This window comes from Homo sapiens, chromosome 11 (assembly GCF_000001405.40).
Source record: "Homo sapiens chromosome 11, GRCh38.p14 Primary Assembly".
Classification (NCBI taxonomy): Eukaryota; Metazoa; Chordata; class Mammalia; order Primates; family Hominidae; genus Homo; species Homo sapiens.
This window is the reverse complement of record NC_000011.10, coordinates 117,399,510-117,418,422: the sequence shown is the minus strand read 5'-3', so window position 1 is coordinate 117,418,422 and position 18,913 is coordinate 117,399,510. Positions and strand designations below refer to the sequence as shown.

The following is an 18,913-nucleotide window of genomic DNA, read 5'->3' as shown; positions in this document are numbered from 1 at the left end:
CAGGTCTTTTGGAGGCATGAGATAGAGCCTTGAAGCCAGCCTAACATAATAGGTAATCCAAGAGAGTCCCAGCTCCATTCCCTACCTTTGCCCCTTTCCAGGCCTAGTGCCTAAGCTGCCCCAGCAGTGGCCCTACAGGGGGACGGGTCACTAGGAGAGCGGTGGAGCCTATTTTCTCAGTCTCCAAGGTCCATGCAGCGGGTAGGCGTCGGCTCCTCGTGGGGAACCCCAGGAGACCGTCCTGTACTCCAACCTAGGGCACCGTCTCAAGCCTGACAGGCTCTGTTCTGCCTCCTGCCTGCTGGCCCCAGGTCCTAAACTTTCCACTTCCCTCTCTCTCTCCCTCTCACATACAACTGGCCATGAAGAGGAACACAATCCCCCAGCAAGCGTTTTCTTTGCCACCTGTCTTGTCCTCTGTGTCCAAGACTTTTGCGGTTACTCATGGGAAGTCACACAGGTTGCAGTCTCCGTCATGGTTCCCGACTTCCCTGGCCAGGGCAACGGCAATACCAACAGCTCACATTTATTGAGGCCTTACTATGTGCCGAACACTGTTCTAAGGACTTCTTGCATCCTCACAACCTCTTTATAAAGGATAATGTGGAAATCCTTGTTCGATTCATAGCCTCCCTGCTTTTAACCCTGAGAGTGAGACTCACCCAACTGTCCCTCTGCTTCTTACCTCCCAAGAACGGGTATCCTTCTCTTCAGCAGGGGCAATCGGAAATGTCTCCAATGCCCTCTGCTCTACCCCACAGAGCAAAAGCCATGAGGCAGACTGACGTCTCCTATCCTAGAATTTTTAAAACTAGGAGAGCACTACCTGCACCCCATCCTGCCCGAGCCGGGAGAGGAACTGTGCTTCCTGGAGATGGAGGCAGCCCCTCCCAGGCGTGCTGCCCACCCACAAACCATTTCATCACAGACCAAAGGGCCCTCCCTGTAGAGTTAGAAGGCTGCTGGAGAGAGAGTAAGGTTTCCAGGGTGGGGGCTATGGCTGAGCTGACTTAATGAAACAGCAGCTGTCTCTCACCTCCAGATCAATCATCCCAATGATCCAGATCCAGTCCCCCTATCTGATCAGAGGTCAGGGCCAGGGGGAAACAACTGACATATGGATTTGGATGAAAGTGATATGGGTCTTTCAAGAAAAAACAAAAGGGAGAGGACATTAACCAGCTGATTTGACCCAACCAAGGAAGATGGGAGGCAATCCTTCCTTCAGGGCCATCTTGTCCTAACCCTCGCCTCCAAACTGGGGTCATGGGTCCATCCCAAAGGTTATGTGCAGGAGCCTGTTCTATTGTTATGCTCTCAGGCACCAGCACCTCCACAGACACTATGCAACCCATCACCTTTTGCTCTATTTCAAGGAGCGCTGGGATCCCAACCCAAGCCTGAGGGTCACAGAGAGCATGGCTGGGAGCCTCTCAACAGTCACACTAGCCTCAGAGACCCTGGAAAGGGAGAGAAGAAACTATTGAACTCTCCAGGGAGTGTGCCTTCATAGGGCCCCATAGGGAAGGGGGATCAGGACTTTGAGGGCTGCTGGGCAAGGAGACTCCTACACCCTCTCTAGAAGAAATGCTACTACATCTTCTAAAAGCACTGACAACAATCAGGGTGATAAGTTTGATGGGGACAGTGTAATATGACCCCAAAACCAAGAGCTGGGGTTCTACTCAATGTAAGACATGGACTTTCTAACCCACAATGGAGCTAAGCGTGCTATGGGGTGTGTGCGTGTGTGTTCGCCTGTGGCCATTTCCTCTCCTCCCACCTGATAAAAAATGTTGGCAGATTCTAAATTACAAAGACTCATATTTACAAACGTCTGCCGTCTCCTCAACCCTACTGTGATGTGAGGAGTGCTTATCACTGCAGGGCACCAGCACCTCTCTCCTTCTTTCAGGGTAGCTGTGATATGTCTCAAATAAATTAAGCCTCCCATTTCATTTATTTTCTTTCTTTTCTTTTCTTTTTTGGAGAGACAGTCTCACTCTGTCGCCCAGGCTGGAGTGCAGTGGCGCAATCTCGGCTCACTGTTACCTCCGCCTCCCAGGTTCAAGCGATTCTCCTGCCTCAGCCTCCTGAGTAGCTGGGACTACAGGTGTGTGTCACCACGCCCAGCTAATTTTTGTATTTTTAGTAGAGACAGGGTTTCACCATGTTGACCAGGATGGTCTCGATCTCAATCCACCCATCTCGGCCTCCCAAAGTGCTGGGATTACAGGTGTGAGCCACCTTGCCCGGCCAAGGCTCCCACTTCAATGGACTCATTTACTAGAAACAAACTAGGTCTTTGATAATGTGTGTGCTGGCCCGTGTGAACCACCAGCTTCTTGGAAGGGGAAAATAAGAGTGCCTTGTTTTCAAACCAAAAAGAACTAGAAAAGAAGGGAAGGCCTGTCTTCCTCTGGCTGTGGTAGTCCATCATGGAAAAGAGCGTTACACTGCCCTTCCCTTGGGGTGCTGTGTGACATACCTGCTGGAGAGGGCACATGTCACAGGAGGGCAGGCAGGGGAAGCAGGCAGGAGATGCAAGAGGAAAGGAGAAAGAAGGGGACTTTCCAATTCATCAGGACATGGCTGATAGCAGGAACTCCATTTTTTAACCATCACTTCCCCACCTCCCCCAGAAAAGCTGGTGGTGGGATAAGCAATCCCCTCTCAGCACACCTCCCCACCAGAGCCTTGTCTTGGCCCTCCAGCAGCCCTCTGGATGAGGCCAACTCCCCACCCAAGGTAGACCCCTCAGAGTTGCTGAAGCAGAGGCCGCTACCCTGCTTCATTCCCAGAGTGTGGGTTCAGGCTTAGAGCTTGTGACCAGGGAAGACACAGGAACGGAAAGGACTTGTTCAGGTGACAGCTTGTAGGTGGCAGAGTCAAAAGTAAACCCAGGACGGAGGCCAAGATTATTTCCCTACACCTCATACTGCTATTTTGTGTGGGAGTTTACTGGAGGGGCAGGGAGGCGGGAGGGGTCAGTGGCGGGCGCCTATCATCTTTCCCAGCATTGTTCCCTTAAGAAAACCGTCAATCAACCACTCACGACAGAGCTTGGGGCAATCGTCCCATCCTACATTAGGAGTGACCCATACTCCACCAGTAATAGGGAAGAGAATCATAAGTGTCCCTTCTTTTTATTTGCATAAAATCTCCAGAAAGAACTGGTAGTATTTTTTACCTTCAATGGGGAGCACTAGATAACTCATGGAGTGACTTTTGTACCATTTGAATATCGAGTCATGTGAACATATAGTCTACTAAGAATATCCTTTAAAAAAAAAAACTATTTTCTGAAGCCCCAGGCCAGGAAGTTAGGACACTGGTTCTATTCCCACCTCTGCCACTGTGGCTGCAACTTGGGGCACCTCATGTAGCCTCTCTAGGCCGTCTCCTCTACTGCAAAACCTGAAGTAATCCATAAGGCCCCACTATGGACCCCAATTCCTATGATGAAACCCAATCCCCAGTGTGATGATATGAGGAGGCGGGGCCTTTGGGGAGGCAATTCGGATGTGAAGGCGCAGCCCTCATGACTGGGATTAGTGCCCTCAGAAGGGGCTGAAGGAGCCAAGAGTCCTACACTTCTACTAGGTGAGGACGCAGAAGGTGCCCTCTAGGAACCAGAAACCACTCACCATACACCGAATTTGTCAACACCTTGATCTTGGATTTTCAGCCTCCAAAACTGTGAGAAATAAATTGTTGTTGTTTAAAAGCTACCTGGTTGATGGTATTTTGTCACAGCAGTCCAAACGGACTCAATGGCTCCTTTCAGCTCCAAACGTCTATGATTCTAGTCTCCCCAGCTAGATGCTAAAACCCATGAAGAGGAGGGATGGGACAATTTTGGAATCTTCTGAAAAAGTCCCTTTGTAAACCCTAACCCAAGAAGGTTTTCCGCCAGCTAGAAGCTATCCCCTTCCTGCAACCCAGGTCTTCAGACCAAGCTGGACAGGACTGTTCTGTGTGCCAGGAGGAGGATAGGAGATGCTAACACAGCAGAGCCTGGTTCACAGATCTTGACTTTCAGAGATCTGGGTTCAAACACTGGGTCATTCGCTGTATGACATTGGGCTATAGTGATTTCACCTCTCTGAGCCTAAGTGACCTCATGGATGAAATAAGAACACTAACATCATAAGATTAAGATTATAAACAATAACATATGAAAAGCACCTGGCACAAAGAAAGCACTCAACAAATGTTAGCTTGCTTCTCCTTCCCTCCCTTCTTTCCTTTCTTCCTTCCCCCCAGAAAGTGGCTAGGACACAGAACTGGGTTATTTTGCATGCTTTGTCCTTAGGCTGGTTTTCTTACACAAATCCATGTCATGTGGCCATCTTGGTTTGCTCTCCTAGAAATTCTGTTGCTACAAATCCAAGACTGTATTTAGGCTGTTCACACCGCTGGAGCAGAAAAACCCAGCTAACTGCCAGCTTAGGGACTTTGGGGGACTCATCTTGCATTTGTCTGCATGGGGAAAACACCAATCAGCCTTTGGGAAATGGCACCATGGGTCTCCGGCTGGTAGGAGGGAGAGCTGTGAAGGAGCAAAGGGAGAGATGGCGAATTCAGCACTTCCCAAGGACTGGTAGTAGGGAAGACGGCGCTCTGGGGGTGCAGGGATGGAGTGTGGGGACACTGCACATGTAGGGAGCTCAGCTACTTTACTGGGGACCCCAGGCATGTAAAGGTTCTCTAAGCCTTGGTTTCCTCGTCCATAAAAACAGAGGAGAAAATATCTACATCAATATCTACATTGTTGCGATGATTAAATCAGATACTACATAGGGCAGTGTTCTATGAATATTCATTTTTCCTTCCTCCCTTCTCAGGAAGGAGGCAAAGGCCTCCCAAAAGAAGGAGACACATTTACATGACTGCCTTGTAGAAAATGGACCTGCAGAGATTTAAATGATGCAGAAAATACCCAGGATTATCACTAGAGTTGGTGCACCACATAAGCTATTCCCAAAGCACACATGATGAAACGGAGTTTTCTATGTAGTGGGCTGATGCTTAAAAGGCATCTGAGGAGATCAACAGCCAGTTGGATCTTAGTTTCTTATTCCATGACCACGAAATGAGTTGGAGGACGGAAGGAGTTAATTTGTGTGTCAGAGAAGCAAGGGCAACCCCACAGCTTGCAAAAAAAAAAACAAAAATAAGTGCATTTTATTTAAACAACGGAACAAACATCAGAGAGCATCCCCTGCAAAGCCCCCACCCCAGAGCCTGCTGATGGAAGCGGGGCTGCAGGACGCTCTGCCACAACGGCAGCATCTCCAACTGCACAAAGACCCCTTGCTGCCAGGGCCGGGCACCGGCCTAGCTCCTTGCCTGCCTGCCTGAGGCAGCCGTGGAATCAGGGCAGGGGTGGCACAGGTAGAAAAGACAGATGGAAACAATGCCCATGAATATACCCAAAGTGTCCCAGGAGGATAAAAGCCATCATGAGGACCAGAAGCCAACCCAGTCTTTTTTTGGCCTCCTGGAGAAGTTGTTTTTGAGACCTGAGACTCCAGCTGAAATGGCTCCCTGAGGAGCCCCAGGGAGCAGGAGGGGTGTTCTGAGGACAGCCCCTGAGGAAAACACAGTGCCTGCAGAGGGACAGCCCCCAGCACCCTCCGGCAGGGCTCTGGACAGCTAAGCCCAGTCCTGAGAGGGTCAAAAAGAGAGATGGAATGCTCAAGAAAAGAGGCATTTAAAAATTAAGAGAAGAAAGACAAAAAAGAAAGGGTCTGATCTGAGGCTGAGGTATTGGAGATAGATGTGGGCCCAGAGAAATCGGGTCCCAGGGTACACACATGCTGGGGGTCTTTGTCCTGATGAATTAAGAACCATACACACAACCTCCTTGGGAGCCCCGAGCAGTGCGCTGCAGGGCCAAGGAAACAACCAGCTCCAAAGGGACTCCCTGAGCCTCCGAAGGCAGCTCCTCTAACGCCTCCCTTCCTCCCAAAGGGCTCCCGGCCCTGATACCCCGCAGCCACCGCACGCCATCAGCTTGCCATGTCAATGACAAGAGCTCGTACGAGTCCACACATTTTAGCCTGAGATAGGTTATATAGTCACAGAATGTGTGGCTTTACTGTTCCACTCAACCCCCTGGTCCCTGGTGGCTCCTGCAAGTCAAAGGGGGAAGGAGGGTGCTTTCTCAGATGGAAGAAGGCAGGCAGCTCCTCAGGCACTTGGTCTGGGTGGAGGAGAGGCTGGGCTGCCCCAAGCCCCTGCTCAGGGCCTCAGAAGCGATACACCTTCACTCTGTTGTGCTCATCAAGGCCCAGCTGCAGGAGGCTCAAAGTAGCTTTTGGCTTGGGTGTTGACGAGAAGAGAGGTCTGGCCACAAGGTGAAGGAAAACTGCAGTCGCTGGGCATAGCCAGGCAGGGGCCATGAAAGGGTCAAAGGCTGAACAGGATCCTCCTCAGCCCCTCAGGGCACAAGCACAGTCCCCACAGCCCAGCCCAGTTTGGGAACCAGGTAAAAGGATACAACCTGGGGTCATTCTTGACACGTTCCAGCCACCTCCGGTTGGCCTCAATTATGCCCTGAAAGGTGGTGCTGCCCGCCTCAGGGACTTGCGAATGGGAGTGCTGTAGGAGCCGGAGCTGCTCACTGGGAAGGAAGAGGAGAGCATGGCGAGGGGAGAGAGGAGGCGCGGAAGTGACAGAGGATGCACAGAGGCCATCACATCTGTCACCTCCTCCCTCTTTCTCTCAGCTACCAGAGCAGCTTCTCCGAGGTCCCTAGCAATTCAAAGCTTCAAAACATCTGCCCCTCCAGAACAGTTCCCAAACGGGAAAGTGGTGGAGGCCCTCTGCCCCCTTGCTGGGTGCTACTGATACAAGGCTCTGGGCTCCCACATCCGCCTGCTCCCGCCAATCTCATCAGCAAAGCGCTCCCCTCTGTCAACTCAATCCTTGGCCAGCATCAGCTCTCAAGTTGGCCAAAGGGTTAGTGGGGGGTACTCACTGTTAGCTGCCTAAGGGAGGGAGAGGGGAAAACATTTGGCAAGGAATGAGATGAATGGAAAATTAATAACAGGTTTAAATAATTGCCCGTCTGTCTCCTCCACAGGGTGTCCCTCTCACTCCAGATGTTGCTCAGCAGGACTGGGGGAATAAGGGAGCCACAGGAAGCAAACAAGAGCTCAAGGGCAAAGACAAAGGCCAGACTCCGGGGCTGGAGGGGCTAGAGGGAGGGGCGGGGGCAGGGTCCCACCAGGGGCTGACTCCTCCCCACAGGGGCCAGAGGGCAGCTTCCTCAGGGGGTTGGCAGGGTAAGCCCAGCCCTTCCCCACTGGGACCTTGGCGGTGTGAACTTGACTTTCCCCTGGTCATGGAGGGGCGCCTCAGACCCAGGCAAGCGGGGACAGCTCTGTGGACTAGAGGCCTGCCTGATTTCTTGGGGTAAGACCAGGAGGTCTGCTCCCCTCAGAGGTCCACCTGCCCAGGGAGGCACAGTGAGCAGCTCGACTATGACGTTCCACCCCAACCAGCCCCCAGGGAGGCTCACCTGGCAGACATGTAACCCAGCCTGCTCTCCAGCGGGGTGGGGCTGTTGCTGAGCAGCGGGATGCCAGCTGGAAGAGCATGGGGACAGGACTCAGAAATGGGCAGTGGTCACCACCCTGCCCACCAGCACCTCTTGCCTCCCCAGAATAAACAATAAAAGGAAAAGCTTCAGTGGCTGGAGGCCAGAGACAGGTGAGAGACAGGAATGGTCCTATTTATTTTATTTTTAAAACTTAATCTACTTTTCAATTTGGGTTAGGGCAAAAAGAAGATATTTTGTTTCCCCTCAAATGCCTTGTTTTATGGCTTTTCATAATCCTCAGCAGGGCTGAGACCTGGGGAGGCCACCTGGCTCAGAAGCAAGAATTAGCCACACAGCCAAGAGGTTCCAAGCAGAATCCTGGAGTCACAGAGACATGGGGTCACAACTGAGTTTGTTACTCACTCACTGGGTACCCTGGAGCATACTACTTAAACTCTCTGAAACTCAGTTTCCTCATCTGTAAAATGGGGATAAATAATTACTACCTCAGAGAATTAAGAACTAAATGAAAAAATATATATAAACTGCTTGGCCCATCATGTATTGCACAAGATGGTAGCTATTAAGATAATGACGACAATGACCTTTTAGGTTCTACTGAGCTCCAGAATCCACAATAAAGGCCCCAGTCAGCCAGGCTCCATCTAAACCGTCCCAACCCATAGAACTCCTGGCTGCAGGGCCACCTGCAATGTCTCCTTCCCCAGGGACCCACAGGTAGAGTCAATGGACCAATGGACTATGGTAACGTTGGGGGAGGAGAGGTGTGGCAAAGGGATGCAAAAGAGGAAGAGGAGAAAAGGAGCAGGAGAAAGAGGGTAGAAGAAAAGGAAGGAAGAGGAGGAGGAGGAGGCAGGTGGGAAGGCTCCGCCCAGAGTGGGGCTTACATGGAAAATACTTGCGCCACTTCTCCAACAGGAAGTCGTCCACCGTTTGAGCCACAGAGGAGGGGAGCCTGGGCCCCTGCCCTGAATCCCAGGCCCATTGGGTGGACGTGGGTGTAGCAGATGATAAGGCTGAGAACCTGGCCAGGGAGCCATAGTAGGTGGGGGTGGGGGTGCTCTTAGGGTCCCGGGGAGGGAGCTGGGCTGGCATGGAGGCGAGGAGCGGCGGCGGCGACTGAGGGTTGAGGCTGTCCAGGATGCTGAGGACACTGCTCAGCTGGCTGCTGATCTGCCGGAGGGAGTGGCTAAGCCCGTGGATCTTGCGGGAGGTGAGACTCGGGGTTGAGTCGACTGAAAGAAAAGAGGTGGATGGTGGGAAGGGACTCAAGCTCAGGACCCTGGACCATTCCCAGACACAGCTGTCATGGAGGACCCTACTGGCCACCCCTCCCTGCTTCTCCAGACAACAGCCCCTCAACCTTATGAGGGGGTCAGGGATGGCAGGGCTTCTGTGTTCCAGACAGTGCAAGTGAGAAGCTGGCCATGAGAAACAGGTTTCCAGGGCAAGGTGCTGGGTGAAGGGCCCAGGACCCCAGAGAGAAGGAAGGGGAGAGGGCCCTTCTGTCACATACAGGCCAGGGCAGCTGAGAGAGAAAAGCCTCCTCAAGGAGGCCCTGGAAGAGAAGAGGCCAGCAAGGCCAGTGGTCACACCGTAGAGTGCTCTGCAGCATTCAGAGGGCTTCCCTGACCTTTCAGCCCCACGTGCTGGCAAACCTAGATGGTGTGATTCCTTCCCAGCACTGACCGAGCACCTAGTCCAGACACCGGCTCACAGAGGCCTCCCTCTGCAGGGCTGAGGGAAGAGAGCTCTTCTTCTATTCCCCAAGTTCCTCCCATTCCATGGATACCATGGTCCTCACCCCGCATCTCCCCCACTCACTCCTCTGCTGCCGCCACCACTCACGGTGAGGCGGGGAAAAAGATTCAGAACTTTCACTGCTCAGGCTGTCCATGTCACTGAGGTCGAAGGTTACTGCCTTCTTGGTGGGGGATCCTCCCAGAGTGCCCTCATCTGAGGCCTGTGGGGTAAAGTCAGCAGTTATGACCCACCTCTCCCACGTGCTTTCTACCCTTCCTTTTTCCTTCCTAGGAAGTGGCTGGGACACTGAGCTAGGTTCTTCTTTATGTTTTGTCTTTAAGCTGGTTTTCTTACGCAAATCCATGAAATATGGCCATCTCCATTTGTTCTCCTAGCAATTTTGTTGCTACAAATTCAAGGTGGTATGTAGGCTGTCGCCCTTGTGATGTGTGGGAACTGAGGACTTGGTGAGTAGACTCCTCTGGGGCCCAGAGTTCCACCAGGTACCCTGGGCGAAGCAAATCACACAGGCTGCCTCACAGCAGGGTGGGAGGGAGGCAAGGCTCAGCATATGTCCCAAATGCCTGAGACAGAGACAACAGTGCCATCAGGTCCACACAGACCCCCACCACCCTTCCCAGTAAGCTCTCCCTGCAGTGTTACTCCACCTAAGCCTCCCCCGCTACACCTAAGCCTCAGACATCTAGGAGAAAGTCCACAAGGTCCCAAGGCAGGTAGGAAAATCTATCATGTGTGTCCATTCCTGACACCCTGGTCACACCTGTCCTTAGGGACCAGGGCAGGGTAAAGGCTTGGCCCTCTTCTCAGGCACCTTTAGCAAGAGGTTCCAGGTATATTCCGGACCATTCAGCACAGGTATCCAAACCCACAGGTGTCTTCAACAAACTCAGAATTGAAGCCACTGCCACCTTCATCAGCCAGTAGACAAGCCTACTGCCCAATCCTGGGCCCTAGAGGCCCAACTCCCCCGGATGCAGGACCAAAGAACTCAACCCAATCCCAAGAACAGAAGAGGAAGGCCAGGGCCCACTGGACTATGTGGACATGGGGCTGCACCTCTTCCCAAAGAGAGGACTCCAACTGATTCAGCTTCTCCTCTTTCTTCTTCAGCAGGTTGTGGCCTTTCCGCATGGCCGACTTCATCTCATCCAGGTGCCTGGTCTCCTGCAGCCAAGGAGAAAACAGAGGAGAAATGACTACCCACACAGACGCTGGAGTCCCAACCCTGCCATTTGCTGACTGGGTGATCTTGAACAAATTACTATAGTCTGCTTTCTCATCTGGAACAGAGAACTATGACTTTTCACAGGGTCGTAAGAATTACAAGAGAAAGAGTATGTTACTATGTTACATGCTTAACACCATGCCTACACCTTAAAAACTCTCAGATGGTTACTGTTAACCAAATGGTTATTATTTATTATGATTATTGTTTTTAGAGATGAGGTCTCACCATCACCCAGGCTGGAGTGCAGTGGCCTGATTACAACTCATTGTAGCCTCAACTTCCTGGGCTCAGGCAATCCTCCCACCTCAGCCTCCCAAGTAGCTGGTACTACAGATGTGTGCCACCACACCTGGCTTTTTTTTTTCTTTTTTCTTTTTCTCTTTTTTTTTTTTTTTTTTTTTTTGTAGAGACAGAGTTTTGCAATGTTGGCCAGGCTGGTCTCAAAATCAAGTGATCCTCCAGCCTCAGCCTCCCAAAGCACTGGGATTACAGGCATGAGCCACCACATCAGCCGCAAATGGTTATTATTATCACTGCTCCAATTATGATTACTCTCATCACCACCACCACCATGGTTGAGAGGGGTTAAGCAGAGCAATGACAGGGTCGTGGGCAGCATGTATATAACCCTGGGAAGCTGCCCCTCTGTCTGTTCCAGCCCCTTGCTCTCTGCTGACCCCAAGCCAGTCCTAGGGGCCATCGGGGCCTGAGCCCCTTACCAGTTCTGAACACCATCAGAAACACCATTTCTTTTCTCTTTTTTTGAAATAGAGTCTCGCTCTGTCACCCATGCTGGAGTCCAGTGGTGCGATCTCGGCTCACTGCAACCTCCACCTCCTCCTGGGTTCAAGCAATTCTCCTGCCTCAGCCTCCTGGGTAGCTGGGATTACAGGCGTGCACCACCACACCCAGCTAATTTTTTAATTTTTAGTAGAGACGGGGTTTCACCATGTTGGTCAGTCTGGTCTTGAACTCCTGACCTCGTGATCCACCCGCCCCGGCCTCCCAAAGTGCTGGCATTACAGGCATGAACCACTGCGCCTGGCTGAGCACCATCAGATTTCTAAGGGCCCAGGTGATCCAAGAGAGCTCACCCTGCCAGGACCCTCAACTGGTCAAAGATCTGTGATCCCAACTAATAATAATGAAGTATCTGCCTTTTCATTGCAAATTAGGCTATCAGAGAAGCAGGGTGGGTAAGTAACTCAAAGCCTTTTGCTAAGTGTGTTCAAAAGACTTTCATGTACGAACAAAGTCTTTAGTGTGACAGAATGGAAAGGCAAAGCACTGGGTTTGAAAGGTTTGAAAGTACTAAACATTAGTCGTACTCTTCACCAGGAAAATGGGACTATTACTACTGCCTTGCACATTATAAATGGTTATTGATATAGTTTGGCTCTGTGTCTCCACACAAATCTCATCTTGAACTGTACTCCCACAATTCCCATGTGTTGTGGGAGGGACCTGAAGGGAAATAATCTGAATCATGAGGGCCATTTCCCCCATACTGTTCTTGTGATAGTGAATAAGTCTCACGAGATCTGATGGGCTTATCAGGGGTTTCTGCTTTTGCTTCTTCCTCATTTTTACTTGCCACCACCATGTGAGAAGTGCCTTTTGCCTCCCGCCATGATTCTGAGGCTTCCCCAGAATCATTTCCCCAGTGGAACTGTAAGTTCAATTAAACCTCTTTTTCTTCCCAGTTTTAGGTACGTCTTTATCCACAGCATGAAAACAGACTAATACAGTAAGTTGGTACCAGGAGTGGGGTGTTGCTGAAAAGATACCCAAAAATGTGGAAGCAACTTTGGAAATGGGTAACAGGCAGAGGCTGGAACAGTTTGGAGGGCTCAGAAGAAGACAGGAAAATGTGGGAAAGTTTGGAACCTCCTAGAGACTTGTTGAATGGCTTTGACAAAAATGCTGATAGTGATATGAACAATAAGGTCCAGGCTGAGGTGGTCTCAGATGGAGATGAGGAACTTGTTGGGAACTGGAGCAAAGGTGACTCTTGTTATGTTTTAGCAAAGGGACTGGAAGCATTTTGCTCCAGCCCTAGAGATTTGTGGAACTTTGAACTTGAGAGAGATGATTTAGTGTCTCTGGCAGAAGAAATTTCTAAGCAGCAAAGCATTCAAAAGGTGACTTGGGTGCTGTTAAAAGCATTTCATTTTAAAAGAGAAACAGAATATAAAAGTTCAGAAAATTTGCAGCCTGATGATGCAGTAGAAAAGAAAAACCCTGGAGTGGCTGGCAAGATGGCTGAATAGGAACAGCTCCAGTCTGCAGCTCCCAGCAAGATTAACGCAGAAGGCAGGTGATTTCTGCATTTCTAACTGAGGTACCCAGCTCATCTCATTGGGGCTGGTTAGACAGTGGGTGCAGCCGATGGAGGGCGAGCCAAAACAAGGTGGGTGTCGCCTCACCCACGAAGCACAAGGGGTCAGGGAACTCCCTCCCCTAGCCAAGGGAAGACACGAGGGACTGTGACTTGGGGGACAGTGCATTCCGGCCCAGATACTACGCTTTTCCCACAATCTTTGCAACCCGCAGACCAGGAGATTCCCTCGGGTGCCTACACCACCAGGGCCCTGGGTTTCAAGCACAAAACTGGGCAGTCATTTGGGCAGACACTGAGCTAGCTGCAGGAGTTTTTTTCATACCCCAGTGGCACCTGGAGCACCAGTGACACAGAACCATTCACTCCTCTGGAAACGGGGCTGAAGCCAGGGAGCTAAGTGGTCTAGTTCCAGATCCCACCCCAACAGAGCCCAGCAAGCTAAGATCCACTGGCTTGAAATTCATGCTGCTAGCACAGCAGTCTGAAGTAGACCTGGGATGCCCGAGCTTGGTGGGGGCGGGGCATCTGCCATTACTAAGGCTTGCCATTACTGAGGTTTTCCCCTCACAGTGTAAACAAAGTCACCAGGAAGTTCAAACTGGACGGAGCCCACCACAGCTCCACAAAGCCACTGTAGCCAGACTGCCTCTCTAGATTCCTCCTCAGTGGTCAGGCCATCTCTGAAAGAAAGGCAGCAGCCCCAGTCAGGGGTTTATAGATAAAACTCACATCTCCCTGGGACAGAGCACCTGGGGGAAGGGGCAGCTGTGGGCGCACCTTCAGCAGATTTAAATATTCCTGCCTGCTGGCTCTGAAGAGAGCAGCAGATCTCCCAGCACAGCACTTGGGCTCTGCTAAGAGACAGACTGCCTCCTCAAGTGGGTCCTTGACCCCCATGCCTCCTGACTGGGAGACACCGCCTAGCAGGGGTCGACAGACACCTCATACAGGAGAGCTCCAGCTGGCATCTGGTGGGTGCCCCTCTGGGACAAAGCTTCCAGAGGAAGGAAAAGGCAGCAATCTTTGCTGTTCTGCAGCCTCCGCTGGTGATATCCAAGCAAATAGGGTCTAGAGTGGACCTCCAGCAAACTCCAGCAGACCTGCAGCAAAGTGGCCTGTTAGAAGGAAAACTAACAAACAGAAAGGAATAGCATCAACGTCAACAAAAAGAACATCCACACAAAAACCCCATCTGAAGGTCACCAACATCAAAGACCAAAGGTAGATAAATCCATGAAGATGAGGAAAAACCAGCACAAAAATGCTGAAAATTCCAAAAACAAGAATGTCTGTTCTCCTCCAAAGGATCACAACTCCTCGCCAGCAAGGGAACAAAACTGGATGGAGAATGAGTTTGACGAACTGACAGAAATAGGCTTCAGAGGGTGGGTAATAACAAACTCCTCTGAACTAAAGGTGCATGTTCTAACCCAATGCAAGGAAGCTAAGAATCTTGTAAAAAGGTTAGAGGAATTGCTAACTAGAATAACCAGTTTAGAGAAGAACATAAATGACCTGATGGAGCTGAAAAACAAGCACGAGAACTTTGTGAAGCATATACAAGTATAAATAGCTGCATCAATCAAGCAGAAGAAAGGATATCAGAGATTGAAGATTAACAATGAAATAAAGCGTGAAGACAAGATTAGAGAAAAAAGAATGAAAAGGAACAAGCAAAGCCTCCAAGAAATATGGGACTATGTGAAAAGACCAAATCTACGTTTGATTGGTGTACCTAAAAGTGATGGGGAGAATGGAATCAAGTTGGAAAACGCTCTTCAGGATATTATCTGGGAGAACTTCCCCAACCTAGCAGGACAGGCCAACATTCAAATTCAGGAAATACAGAGAACACCACAAAGATACTCCTCGAGAAGAGCAACCCCAAGACACATTATCATCAGATTCACCAAGGTAGAAATGAAGGAAAAAATGTTAAGGGCAGCCAGAGAGAAAGGTCGGGTTACCCACAAAGGGAAGCCCATCAGACTAACAGCAGATCTCTCTGCAGAAACCCTACAAGCTAGAAGAGAGTGGGGGCCAATATTCAACATTCTTAAAGAAAAGAATTTCATATCCAGCCAAACTAAGCTTCATAAGTGAAGCAGAAATAAAATCCATACAGACAAGCAAATGCTGAGAGATTTTGTCACCACCAGGCCTGCCTTACAAGAGCTCCTGAAGGAAGCACTAAATGTGGAAAGGAACAACCGCTACCAGCCACTGCAAAAACATGCCAAATTGTAAAGACCATCGATGCTATGAAGAAACTGCATCAACTAATGGGCAAAATAACCAGCTAGCATCATAATGACAGGATCAAATTCACACATAACAATATTAGCCTTGAATGTAAACAGGCTAAACGCCCCAATTAAAAGACACAGACTGGCAAACTGCATAAACAGTCAAGACCCACCAGTGTGCTGTATTCAGGAGACCCACCTCGTGTGCAAAGACACACATAGGCTCAAAATAAAGGGATGGAGGAATAGCTACCAAGTAAATGGAAAGCAAAAAGAGGCAGGGGTTGCAATCCTAGTCTCTGATAAAACAGACTTTAAACCAACAAAGATTAAAAAAGACAAAGAAGGGCATTACATAACGGTAAAGGGAGAAGAGCTAACTATCCAAAATATATATGCACCCAGGAGCACCCAGATGCATAAAGCAAGTTGTTAGAGACCTACAAAGAGACTTAGACTCCCACACCCCACTGCCAATATTAGACAGATCAACGAGACAGAAAATTGACAAGGATATTCAGGACTTGAACTCAGCTCTGGACCAAGTGGACCTAACAGATGTCCACAGAACTCTCCACTCCAAATCAATGGAATATACATTCTTCTTAGCACCACATAGTGCTTATTCTAAAACTGACCACATAATTGGAAGTAAAACACTCTTCAGTAAATGCAAAAGAACGGAAATCATAACAAACAGTCTCTCAGACCACAGTGCAATCAAATTGGAACTCAAGATTAAGAAACTCACTCAAGGCTGGGTGTGGTGGCTCAGGGCTGTAATCCCAACACTTTGGGAGGCCGAGCCAGGAGGATCATGAGGTCAGGAGCTCGAGACCAGCCTGAAAAACATGGTGAAACCCCGCCTCTACTAAAAATACAAAAATTAACCAGGCATGGTGGCACACACCTGTAATCCCAGCTACTCAGGAGGCTGAAGCAGGAGAATCGCTTGAATCTGGGAGGCAGAGTTTGCGTGAGCCAAGATCATGCCACTGCACTCCAGCCTGGGTGACAGAGCAAGACTCTGTCTCAAAAAAAAAAAAAAGACAAGAAAAGAAAAGAAACAAGTAAGTTCTTTGAAACCAATGAGAACAAAGACACAATGTACCAGAATCTCTGGGACACAGCTAAAGCAGGGTTTAGAGGGAAACTTACAGCACTAAATGCCCACAGGAGAAAGCAGGAAAGATCTAAAATCGACACCCTAACACCACAATTAAAAGAAGTAGAGAAGCAAGAAGAAACAAATTCAAAAGTTAGCAGAAGACAAGAAATAACTAAGATCAGAGCAGAATTAAAGGAGATAGAGACACAAAAAACCCTTTAAAAAAATCAATCAATCCAGGAGCTGGTTCTTTGAAAAGATTAGCAAAATAGATAGACTGCTATCCAGACTAATAAAGAAGAAAAAATAATCAAATAGACACAATAAAAAATAATAAATGGAATATTACCACTGATCCCACAGAAATACAAACTACCATCAGAGAATACTATACACACTTGTATGCAAATAAACTAGAAAATCTAGAAGAAATGGATAAATTCCTGGACACATATACCCTCCCAAGACTAAACCAGAAAGAAGTTGAATCCCTGAATTGACCAATAACAAGTTCTGAAATTGAGGCAGTAATTAAAAGCCTACAAATCAAAAAAAGCCCAGGACCAGACAGATTTAAAGCCGAATTCTACCAGAGGTACAAAGAGGAGTTGGTACCATTCCTTCTGAAACTACTCCAAACAATAGAAAAAGGACTCCTCCCTAACTCATTTTATGAAGCCAGCATCATCCTGATACCAAAACCTGGCAGAGACACAACAAAAAAAGAAAATTTCAGGCCAATATCCCTGATGAACATCAATGTGAAAATTCTCAATAAAATACTGAATCTAGCAGCACATCAAAAAGCTTATCCACCACAATCAAGTCGGCTTCATCCCTGGGATGCAAGGCTGGTTCAACATACGTAAATCAATAAACACAATCCATCACATAAACAGAACTAATGACAAAAATCACATGATTATCTCAACAGATGCAGAAAAGGCCTTCGATAAAATTTGACACCCCTTCATGCTAAAAACTTTGAATAAACTAGGTATTGAGGGAACGTATCTCAAAATAATAAGAGCTATTTATGACAAACCCACAGCCAATATCATACTGAATGGACAAAAACTGGAAGCATTCCCTTTGAAAACCGGCACAAGACAAGGATATCCTCTCTCACCACTCCTATTCAACACAGTATTGGAAGTTCTGGCCAGGGCAATCAGGCAAGAGAAAGAAACAAAGGGTATTCAAATAGGAAGAGAGGAAGTCAAATGGTTTCTGTTTGCAGATGACATGACTATATATTTAGAAAACCCCATCATCTCAACCCCAAATCTCCTTAAGCTGATCAGCAACTTCAGCAAAGTCTCAGGATACAAAATCAATGTGCAAAAATTATAAGCATTCCTATACACCAATAATAGGCAAACGGAGAGCCAAAGCATGAGTGAACTCCCATTCACAGTTGCTACAAAGAGAATAAAATACCTAGGAATCCAACTTACAAGGGATGTGAAGGACCTCTTCAAGGGGAACTACAAACCACTGCTCAAGGAAGTAAGAGAGGACAAAAACAAATGGAAAAACATTCCATGCTCATGGATACGAAGAATCAATATTGTGAAAATGACCATACTGCCCAAAGTAATTTACAGATTCAATGCTATCCCCATCAAGCTACCATTGACTTTCTTCACAGAATTAGAAAAAACTACTTCAACTTTCATATGGAACCAAAAAAGAGCCTGTATAGCCAAGACAATCCTAAGCAAAAAGAACAAAGCTGGAGGCATCATACTACCTGACTTCAAATGATACTACAAGGCTACAGTAACCAAAACAGCATGGTACTGGTACCAAAACAGATATATAAGCCAATAGAACAGAACAGAGGCCTCAGAAATAGCGCCACACATCTACAACCATTTGATCTTTGACAAACCTGACAAAAACAAGAAATGGGGAAAGGATTCCCTATTTAATAAATGATGTTGTGAAAACTGACTAGCCATATGCAGAAAACTGAAACTGGACCCCTTCCTTACACCTTATACAAAAATTAATTCGAGATGGATTAAAGACTTAAATGTAAGACCTAAAACCATAAAAACTCTAGAAGGAAACCTAGGCAATACCATTCAGGATATAGGCATGGACAAAGACTTCATGACTACACACCAAAAGCAATGGCAACAAAAGCCAAAATTGACAAATGAGATCTAATTAAACTAAAGAGCTTCTGCACAGCAAAAGAAACTACCATCAGAGTGAACAGGCAACCTACAGAATGGGAGAAAATTTTTGCAATCTACCCATCTGACAAAGGGCTAATATCCAGAATCTACAAAGAACTTAAACAAATTTACAAGAAAAAAACAAACAACCTCATCAAAAAGTGGGCAAAGGATATGAACAGACACTTCTCAAAAGAAGACATTTACGCAGCCAACAAACACATAAAAAAAAAGCTCATCATCACTGGTCATTAGAGAACTGCAAATCAAAACCACAATGAGATACCATCTCACATTGGTTAGAATGGCAATCATTAAATAGTCAGGAAACAACAGGTGCTGGGAGAGGATGTGGAGAAATAGGAATGCTTTTGCACTGTTGGTGTAAGCATAAATTAGTTCAACCACTGTGGAAGACAGTGTGGTGATGCCTCAAGGATCTAGAACCAGAAATACCATTTGACCCAGCA

General features: G+C 48.2%; 1 protein-coding gene across 73 annotated transcripts in view, besides 1 other annotated feature; it reads right to left on the bottom strand.

Moving 5' to 3' along the window:
* Window positions 5,157-18,913, bottom strand: part of CEP164 (centrosomal protein 164) — a 91,489-nt gene continuing 77,732 nt past the window's right edge. For 40 of the 73 annotated variants that reach the window (XM_006718788.2, XM_047426578.1, XM_011542674.2 and 37 more), the window contains 6 exons: window positions 10,391-10,498; window positions 9,395-9,533; window positions 8,458-8,805; window positions 7,529-7,595; window positions 6,506-6,628; window positions 5,157-6,351 (listed from right to left, as the gene is read on the bottom strand). In XM_006718788.2, coding sequence (XP_006718851.1) covers window positions 6,255-6,351; window positions 6,506-6,628; window positions 7,529-7,595; window positions 8,458-8,805; window positions 9,395-9,533; window positions 10,391-10,498 — 882 coding nt within the window. In that variant the 3' untranslated portion in view covers window positions 5,157-6,254. Of the gene's footprint in view, window positions 6,352-6,505; window positions 7,126-7,528; window positions 7,596-8,457; window positions 8,806-9,394; window positions 9,534-10,390; window positions 10,499-13,844; window positions 14,004-18,913 lie in introns of those variants that run through there. The other 33 variants (NM_001271933.2, NM_001440972.1, XM_047426570.1 and 30 more) reach the window with 3 other exon arrangements.
* Window positions 5,926-6,438: an enhancer, noted in NCBI's record as "H3K4me1 hESC enhancer chr11:117282701-117283213 (GRCh37/hg19 assembly coordinates)". NCBI's record gives its function as "activates a minimal SCP1, AML or CMV promoter by ChIP-STARR-seq in naive H9 embryonic stem cells {active_cell/tissue: H9 hESC(naive)}" and the evidence as "EXISTENCE:reporter gene assay evidence [ECO:0000049][PMID:30033119]".